Source organism: Homo sapiens, chromosome 16, assembly GCF_000001405.40.
Source record: "Homo sapiens chromosome 16, GRCh38.p14 Primary Assembly".
Taxonomy (NCBI): domain Eukaryota; kingdom Metazoa; phylum Chordata; class Mammalia; order Primates; family Hominidae; genus Homo; species Homo sapiens.
This window is the reverse complement of record NC_000016.10, coordinates 86,843,280-86,852,289: the sequence shown is the minus strand read 5'-3', so window position 1 is coordinate 86,852,289 and position 9,010 is coordinate 86,843,280. Positions and strand designations below refer to the sequence as shown.

At 52.6% G+C, this 9,010-nt stretch overlaps 1 annotated feature.

Annotated features, from left to right (window-relative positions):
* Positions 1,428 to 1,928: an enhancer, noted in NCBI's record as "H3K4me1 hESC enhancer chr16:86883968-86884468 (GRCh37/hg19 assembly coordinates)". NCBI's record gives its function as "activates a minimal SCP1, AML or CMV promoter by ChIP-STARR-seq in naive H9 embryonic stem cells {active_cell/tissue: H9 hESC(naive)}" and the evidence as "EXISTENCE:reporter gene assay evidence [ECO:0000049][PMID:30033119]".

Sequence of the window (9,010 nt, the reverse complement as noted above, 5' to 3'; positions counted from 1 at the left end):
TGGTGGTGATGATGGTGATGGTGATAGTGATGGTGACAGTGATGATGTTGATGGTGGTGATCATGGTGGTGATGATGGTGATGGTGGTGATGATGGTGATAGTGATAGTGATGGTGACAGTGATGGTGGTGATGATGGTGATGGTGATAGTGATGGTGACAGTGATGGTGGTGATGATGGTGATGGTGATGATGGTGATGATGGTGATGGTGATGATGATGGTGATGGTGATAGTGATGGTGACAGTGATGATGGTTATGGTGGTGATGATGGTGGTGATGATGATGGTGATGATGACGATGTTGGCAGTAATGATGATGATAATGGTGATAAGTTTTTTCTTTTTTATTACCATGACCATTACTAGAACTAATGAAGTAAGTTAATCTGTAGTCACAAGGGTTTGCGAACATTTCCAGCAGCAAGACCACTTCTTTTCTATATGTCCTCACCCTAAATTGTGGAAGATGTTATAAAGAAGCTCATTGTCTGTCTCTGATCAGTTTGGGTCCAGGAAGGAAATGCCCTGAGGCAGATGGAAAGAGAAGTCCGTGTGTCCTGGAACGGAGGCTTAGCTGAGGGGGTCAGTGAGAGAGGCCAGCACTTGGAAGCTAAGGAGCACCCCCTGCCCAGCCACTTGGGGTCGGCTCCTCCTTCCCCACACATGGCACACACACCTGCCAGCTGGCCTTTGCTTTGCCAGCCTTTGTCCTGAAATGCCCTTTGTCCTTTCCGCCAAATCATCCTGCAGGTTGAAACTAGGTCCAAGTGCATCGAGCTGTCACCAGGTGCCTAGAACTGTCCCATTTCATCCTCTCAATAACTCTATGACATAGGGAAGGTAGGCACATGACCTCCATTTCACAGATGAGGAAAGTGAGGTTTCCAGAAGGGAATTCATTTGTCCAAAGTCACCCTGCTAATATTCAGTAGACCCCACAGTCCCCTCTCCCCATGCGCTTTTTGAGGCACCTTTAGGTTTCTTGGAACCGAGTTCAAAAACCACTGACCTTGTTTCTCTCTTATGGGCTTTTCCAGCCTGTGATGTGGTTATTTTTACAACTTTGGTCCTCTCTTTTGGTCCTGAGATGGTAAGACGTGGATGAAATTCAACACACCCTGTACCCAATAGGGCTCACCAGTGGCTTTGAAGGCAAAATGTTTTCTTTCGTAAATCTAGAATTTAGAAAATAAATTCTTCTTCCCCACAGGCAGATGCTGACCCACCCACTAAGGCTGAGGCCAAAGAAAATTCTCCGATGACAAGGCTCTGCAGGTGCCATACGGAGCGAGTGCTTTTCAGGCAGTTGGCGGAGCCCAAAGCAAGCTTCCCCCAGAGCATCCGAAGGGGCCACTTGGCTGCGGTCGCCATCGCGAGAACAACAGGAAACTGAGCAGGGGCTGCTGTCGTCCTGGGCAGGACAGCTCTCCATTTCCCTTCAGGCCTGGCATTGTTTTGCTGATGGAAGAAAAGTGGAATGGGGCGTGATCACACTGCCGGCTCAGCAGCTGGAAAGCTCATGTGTTTGCTTAAATGTGCACAAGTTGAGGTCCCTCTGTGCTGCTGATCCCCACCCCCTCTCACCACAGGGTGTTTTCTGATCACCAAATGTATGTTGGTTAGAAGACTTGGCAGTTCTCTGGCCCCAGAGGTAGAGCTAGAAGTTGACGCAGAGTCTCAAGTGGCAACTCTGTTGTCTATGCTGTCTGTTGGTGATGATGGGCCGGGCGTCCCAGGAGGAAGATGACTTTCCAAGGTCCCTTTCTGAGGCGGGATGGCGCAGGGGAGACACTGGCAAGGAGAATGAGGGTTGGGGGAGCTCCAGGGCTCCTCTGCTCCTGAGTGTCAGTGGAGGGTGGACATTGACCAGACCAAAGAGTCTTTGAAACAGGGTCATGGGCAACCATAACTGCATTCCAAGAGGCCCAAAAGACGGAAGGCCCAGGAGACCCCCAAGAATGAGTGTGTGATGAGCAGCCAGGCCCTAATCACCCAAGTCCTGGCTTTGAGAGGGGAGGGGTTGGGCACATAGTATTTATCAGCATTGTCATTAGATTAGAGCACTAGTTATCCAGTCTCCATAAGGTTAACAATCTCTGGGGAGCTTTCTATAAAATGCTACCTCCCCCCCCGCAACTCCAAGGTTCCACGCCAGTCCATCTGGAAAGGGGTTTGGGAATCTGCATTTTAACAACATCCTGTGTGTTTCTGGTGTGGCGGTGAGTGGGTCACACTCTGAGAGACAAGGTCTTAGAGCAGCGGTTCTCAAACTCCAGCACCCTGAGGCCCCCTGCAGAGCACGTTCACCCCCAGATGGCTAGACCCTTGTTAGTGTCTCTGATTCAGCAGGTCTAGGGTGGGGCTCCAGAACCTGCGTCTCCAACAGGGTGTCAGGGGAGGCTTTGCTGCTCTTCCCAGCACCTCCTTTAAGAATGACTCTTCTTTCTTGGAAAAAAAATATCAGTTTGGTCATGTCAACGTCTCAAAGTCAGGGGAAACAGGCCTTTACCATTTTCTATCCCCCAGCCCAGCAGACTCATCTCTGGCTGATTATGTTTGCCTTGAGAGTTTTTAAAAAGTTCTGTTGATGTTTTCATCTGGGTGAGGTGCCAGCTACATTTCTAAAAGCCACCCTCCCCCAGGGGATGCTAAGGTGCAGCTGGAGCAGAGAATTCCTGTCCCACTGTGCCTGACACAGTGCAGGCAGCCAAGTTTAGTTTTTATATCAGTATTTTTTGAGTGCCCACTGCAGGCTTTCATTGATATTTATTGAATGCCTACTGTCTTCCCAGTACCTGCAAGAGGCAGTGGAGGTGGGAGAAAAAGGGACCTGCCCAGTCCTCAAGCAGTTCACAGCCCACTGGGATGACAGGTGTGCAAGGCATCCAGGTAGGAGCTCCAGGTGAAAAATGGCAGGTGCCCTAGGACCACAAAGCAGAGAGAAATGATTCAGCTGAAGGTGAGGCAGGGTGTGAAAGGTTCCAGGAGAAGGGAAAATCTGAGCCTGTTTCAAAGGACGGCTCAGGAAAAGGCAGGCTGGGATGGCTCAATTTCAGGCTGCTGGGACAGCCACACAGCGACAGCATCCTGAAACATCACAGAGCATTCCACGAACTCTGGGCAGGCTGGGGTCACTGGAGCATGAAGCATGAGGCAGGAGTGATGGAGGATGAGGAAGGAGATGAGAGCTCATCAGGAGCATGCATGTTTAGATGTAAACTGCCTTCGGAGCATCAGTTATGATTCATTTGCCCTGATGGAGAGATGGAGGTTCAGTGACGCATAGCAAGCCATCAGCCTTGGTGCAGCCGCATGGGGACCCGATCGTTGCCCCTCCCAGGCAGGGAAGCACAGCCCATTGAGGCTGTTTCTATAAAAAGCACGACTCTTAACTCCTTGCTAGGAGCTTTTGGTGCTAGGATTCCTGTTGGAATCCCAGTGCCCTTCTCCTAGGAATGAATGGGAAGAGTTGGGGAGCAGACTGCTTGCCAGGAGAGCTGGTCTGTGGTCCTGTTCTCTGGTCTCTGGTCCTGTTCCAGCCGTTCATTCACTGGGTCATCTTAGATGAGTCTCTTCTCATTGCTGCCTATAAAGTGAAATTGGGCAGAAAATCTGAAGACCACTGTAGATTGTTCCATTTTAGGAAGGTGTCTCCTGGTGCATCAACGCATGAATGGAAGCAGTGCTGGGAGAGGGAAGCTGCAGACCCCCCAGGCTTCCTTTATGTGCCAGGCCTCCCTTTACATGCTCTTGCCAGCTTGGCAAAATTCCCTTCCTGCCGTGTCCTTGGACAAGCCCTAAACACCAGGTAGCAAAGTGCAGGCAACGTCCCTCAGCGTGAGCCCCGTCCTCGGCTCCACAGCTTCCAGCCAGGATAGATCCCCAGGTCACAGGCCCTTGAACAGAAATCAGTCTATTCAGAAACATTTTGGAAATTAAGACCAGGCCCTGGCTCCTCGGGGAGGAGTGAGAAGCCCGTGGGGTCTGCGGCCTCTTTCTCACGAGCTGCCTCCATTCACAAACTAATGTGCCAAGAGATAACTTGCTAAAGCGGAACGGCCTAGAGTTCCACTAGAGATCCCACGGTGGTCTTCAGATCTTCTGCCTAATTTTGCTGGAACTCCAGATTCAGAGGCAGGCAGGACTGGACATGGAATCCTGGACTCCCAGCTGCACTCTGGTGAGAAGATGCTGGGGCTTCATCCCTGAGCTTCCCCTCCCTTGTGTGCAGATCCTATGCCCACACAGCTACCCCGTGCCTCACACCCATTGATGGCTTCACACTGTTCTTAGGACGAAAGCCAGGTGTTGATTCAGCACTCCATACACAGTGGTGGCTGCCATTGGGATTCTTTGGAGAGCGGCCCCAGGCATCTCCCTCAACCTCACTGGCCCTCAGTCTTCTGTGCTAGGAGGCAAGGAAGACTTGGTTCCTGCGTATTCCTCCAGGTAACTGGGATAAACACATGGGAAACTGATGGGAGAGGCTTGGGACACCATGATGACCCAGACCTTGTGGATAGGGCAGGCCTCGGGGGCTTCCTTTATATGTCGAGCCTCCCATCACGTGCTCTTACCAGCTTGGCAAAATTCCCTTCCCGGCACATCCTCAGACAAGCCCAGAACACCACGAAGCAAAGCGCAGGCAACATCCCCCAGAAGGAGCCCCATTCTCAGCTCCACAGCGTCCAGCCAGGAGACCTCCAGGGCTCCTAGAGAGAAGCAGGATGAAGTTCCAGTAGGATGCGTAGACCCTTCAGGGTTAAATTCTGTCTTCCTTGGAAGACTCGGAAAGGCAGATGATGTAGCCAGCGGAATAAATACAGCCAAGTTGCCCGGTTCTTTTGGTTGGGTACCAGTGCCAAGAAAAAGCAAAGATTCTTTTGTCCCCTCGAGGTCCATTACTTTCTCTATCGGTGTTGCCTCCTCCATTCCTCCCTTAGCCCACACTTTCAGTGGGATTATCCCCCGTGTCCGGCATCCAGCCCTGGCCAATCGGAGCCTTTCACCACTCAGATCACAGTCGCCAGTTCCCATATCAGCAACTGGTCCACGTGGGCCAAGAAGACTCAGTTCCAGGGCTTCGGTTGGAGCAAATGGGAAGCAGGGGCTGCCTCTTTCACTGAGGTTGCTGGGAGAATGAGACTCAGGCCTGGGGCTGCTACCTGGCCCACCCTGATCATGGAACCCCAACAGAGGAAAGCAAAACTGAGGGCTGAAGTGGCCCAAATGGAACCCTGCTGACTTGTCTGAGTCCCTAGATCCAGCCCTACCTGAATCCAACAACAGGAGTTTTCAGTTCCACAAACCAATCAATTCATTCCTTTTCTTAGGTACGTTTCTGTCACTTTCAATCAATGGAGTTTGAGAAATACATGCAAATGATGATGAGAAGAGAAGAGATGCAGAAGGATGGATTCCCATCTGAGTGGGCAGCCTGACTCCAGGGCTGGCATGCAGCTGTGTGTCCATCCACTGGTCCACTGGCAGGTGCACTCTGCCTCCTCCCACTCTGCTGTGTCTTGCAGGGTGGCTCAGGGCTGCACTCCAGTCCCCCCATGTCTGCTGGCTTCCAGCTGGTTCAGCCAATAAGGGACCCTGGGGACAAGCAGAGGTAGGAGGAAGGGAGGAGCCAGGGTGTTTTCTCTCCTCCTCCTCCTCGGCCACAGGCACTGTCTCCCCTGCAGCACCAGTGCCCCAGCAACCAGGGCCCTGATAAGCACATCCGCAGGGTGACCCTTCACTGCCTCCTCCCTCTGCCCCAGCTCTGGCTGGTGTGACGGAGGAGGCCTTCGCTCCCGCTCACCTGTGGGTTTCTCCCTGTCCCTCGGTCCGTTTCTTAGCAAAGCCATCAAATATGTAGCCAATTCCCTGCATTAAATTCTCTCTGTTTTCAGTATTCAGAATGTTTTCTCCTTTTCCTGTTTGGACTCATACCAATACAAACAGCAAGTAGGTTTCCACTTATGTCTTAGGAATAGGAAGCACAGAAACAGCGAGGGAACAAAAATAAATTCAGAGCTACGGGAGCCAGTGTGAGGCTAGACCATGCAGGGCCTTACTCACCACAGGGGTGAGTGTGAGGCTAGACCAGGCAGGGCCTTACTCACCACAGGGGTGAGTGTGAGGCTAGACCAGGCAGGGCCTTACTCACCGCAGGGGTGAGTGTGAGGCTAGACCAGGCAGGGCCTTACTCACCGCAGGGGTGAGTGTGAGGCTAGACCAGGCAGGGCCTTACTCACCGCAGGGGTGAGTGTGAGGCTAGACCAGGCAGGGCCTTACTCACCGCAGGGGTGAGTGTGAGGCTAGACCAGGCAGGGCCTTACTCACCGCAGGGGTGAGTGTGAGGCTAGACCAGGCAGGGCCTTACTCACCGCAGGGGTGAGTGTGAGGCTAGACCAGGCAGGGCCTTACTCACCGCAGGGGTGAGTGTGAGGCTAGACCAGGCAGGGCCTTACCACAGGGATGAGTGTGAGGCTAGACCAGGCAGGGTCTTATGTGCCACAGGGGTGAGTGCGAGGCTAGACCAGGCAGGGTCTTACTCACCACAGGGGTGAGTGTGAGGCTAGACCAGGCAGGGTCTTATGTGCCACAGGGGTGAGTGTGAGGCTAGACCAGGCAGGGTCTTATGTGCCACAGGGGTCAGTATGAGGCTAGACCAGGCAGGGTTGTACTCACCACAGGGGTTAGTGTGAGGCTAGACCAGGCAGGGCCTTACCACAGGGGTGAGTGTGAGCCCAGACCAGGCAGGGCCTTCCTCACCACAGGGGTGAGTGTGAGGCTAGACCAGGCAGGGCCTTACTCACCACAGGGGTGAGTGTGAGGCTAGACCAGGCAGGGCCTTCCTCACCACAGGGGTGAGTGTGAGGCTAGACCAGGCAGGGTCTTATGTGCCACAGGGGTGAGTGTGAGGCTAGACCAGGCGGGGTCTTATGTGCCACAGGAGGAGTTTGGGTACCAACTTGACGCAGTGGGGGCCCCTGGTCAGAGGGCTGGGTAGCACCACCAGACAGTCCTCAGGAGGGGTCACGTGTGACAGGATCTAGGACACATCCTGAAGTGAGGACCTGACTTCTACAGGCCAGCATGTGCTGTGGGCTTGGAGAAATGTGATCCAAAACTTCCGGGGGTTCCTTCTCACTAACTTGTGGATTTCAAAGGCCAATCTTGGAGGAACTCTTCGGGGGCTCTTTCAGCTCCTCAAGTGAAACAGAACACTGTATTAGGATTTGGGTGACTCCAGGAGCCAGCGAGGCGGAGGGGCCAGGGACTTCGGCGGAGGCAGCAACAAAGAGCCCAGTGACCCAGCAAAGCCTGAAGCAGCCCAGACATGAAAGGCATATGCTGGAAAAATTAGCTCAGTGTTTGCTTTGGGAACCAGTCTGACGGCTCTTAATCCAGTGGGCGTTATATATTCCAACTCACGGGATGTCCCAGATCTCTCGGCGGGACGACAAAGCGCCATTTGTGAGGTTTCATCCATGCCCTGGAGGGCGCCTGCCACCCGGCCACTCACTCCCAGCAGCAGAGCGGAGCTAGAGCAGCCATGGGCCTGCTGTCCATGGACGGTCAGCCTTCTCCTCGAGGCCTGTGCCATGGCTGGTTTTGTGTTGACCTTTCCCTCTTACCCACTTTAGAGAGACGAAAGGACTATAGAAGTCACCAGCCGGGCGCGGTGGCTCAAGCCTGTAATCCCAGCACTTTGGGAGGCCGAGGCAGGTGGATCACGAGGTCAGGAGTTCAAGACCAGCCTGGCCAAGATGGTGAAACCTCATCTCTACTAAAAATACAAAAAAAATTAGCCGGTACTGGTGGCATGCGCCTGTAATCCCAGCTACTCCGGAGGCTGAGGCAGAGAATTGCTTAAACCTGGAGGGGCAAAGGTTTCAGTGAGCCAAGATCGCGCCACTGCACTCCGGCCTGGGCGACAGAGCGAGACTCCATCTAAAAAAGAAAAAAAGTCGCCAAGCCCCGGAGTGGAAAATGCATGGAAGGTCTGTTTCTTAAAAAGGCATCTATTAGGTTGAGTAGGTGAGAGGAAGGATGACTTTGGCTCTGGAAGGAGAGCCTGGGTCAGGGAGAGCAGGCATAGCTTCAATGAATAAGACACAGAGGCAGGAACCGCTCTTCTCCATGAAATATATCAGTGGAATCAGAGCACACACAGGCACACATGCACACACATGAGCACATGCAAAGTACAAACTCACATGAGCACACACATGCATACACAGGCACACATGCACACCTGGGTACACATGCACACACACATAAAGCACACATGAACACACACACGAACACACATGAGCACATGCAACGCACACACGAACACACGAGCACACACGTGCACACACAGGCACACACACGAGCACACACAAACACGCATGCACACATGCAATGTACACATGAGCACACACGAACACACATGAGCACACACATGTACACACACGAGCACACACGAACACACAGGCACGTGCACATTTCACTTATCAGAATTTGATTATTGTATGTGCTTAAAAAGAAATTATGTTCTAAATTCCTTTGCCTTCCCTCCTGTTTTAAGAAAACAGCCCCAGGAAAAGGGACCCTATGGCTAACATTCAGAAACTAAAAAGGTTTTTTGTTTTTGTTTTTTTTGAGAGGGAGTCTCGCTCTGTCGCCCAGGCTGGAGTGCAGTGATGCGTTCTCACCTCACTGCAATCTCCACCTCCCAGGTTCAAGCGATTCTCCTGTCTCAGCCTCCTGAGTAGCTGGGATTACAGGTGTGTGCCACCACACCCGGCTGATTTTTGTATTTTTAGTAGAGATGGTTTCACCATGTTGTCCAGGCTGGTCTCAAACTCCTGACCTCAGATGATCCACCTGCCTCAGTCTCCCAAAGTGCTGGGATTACAGACGTGAGCCACCGCGCCCGGCCAAAAAAGGTAACTTTTTAGATGTCTGAGCTTTTTAGAGCTGGAGTCCTGCCATTCGAGGGTGAGTTACATGATTTTCAAGAGTACCACTGAC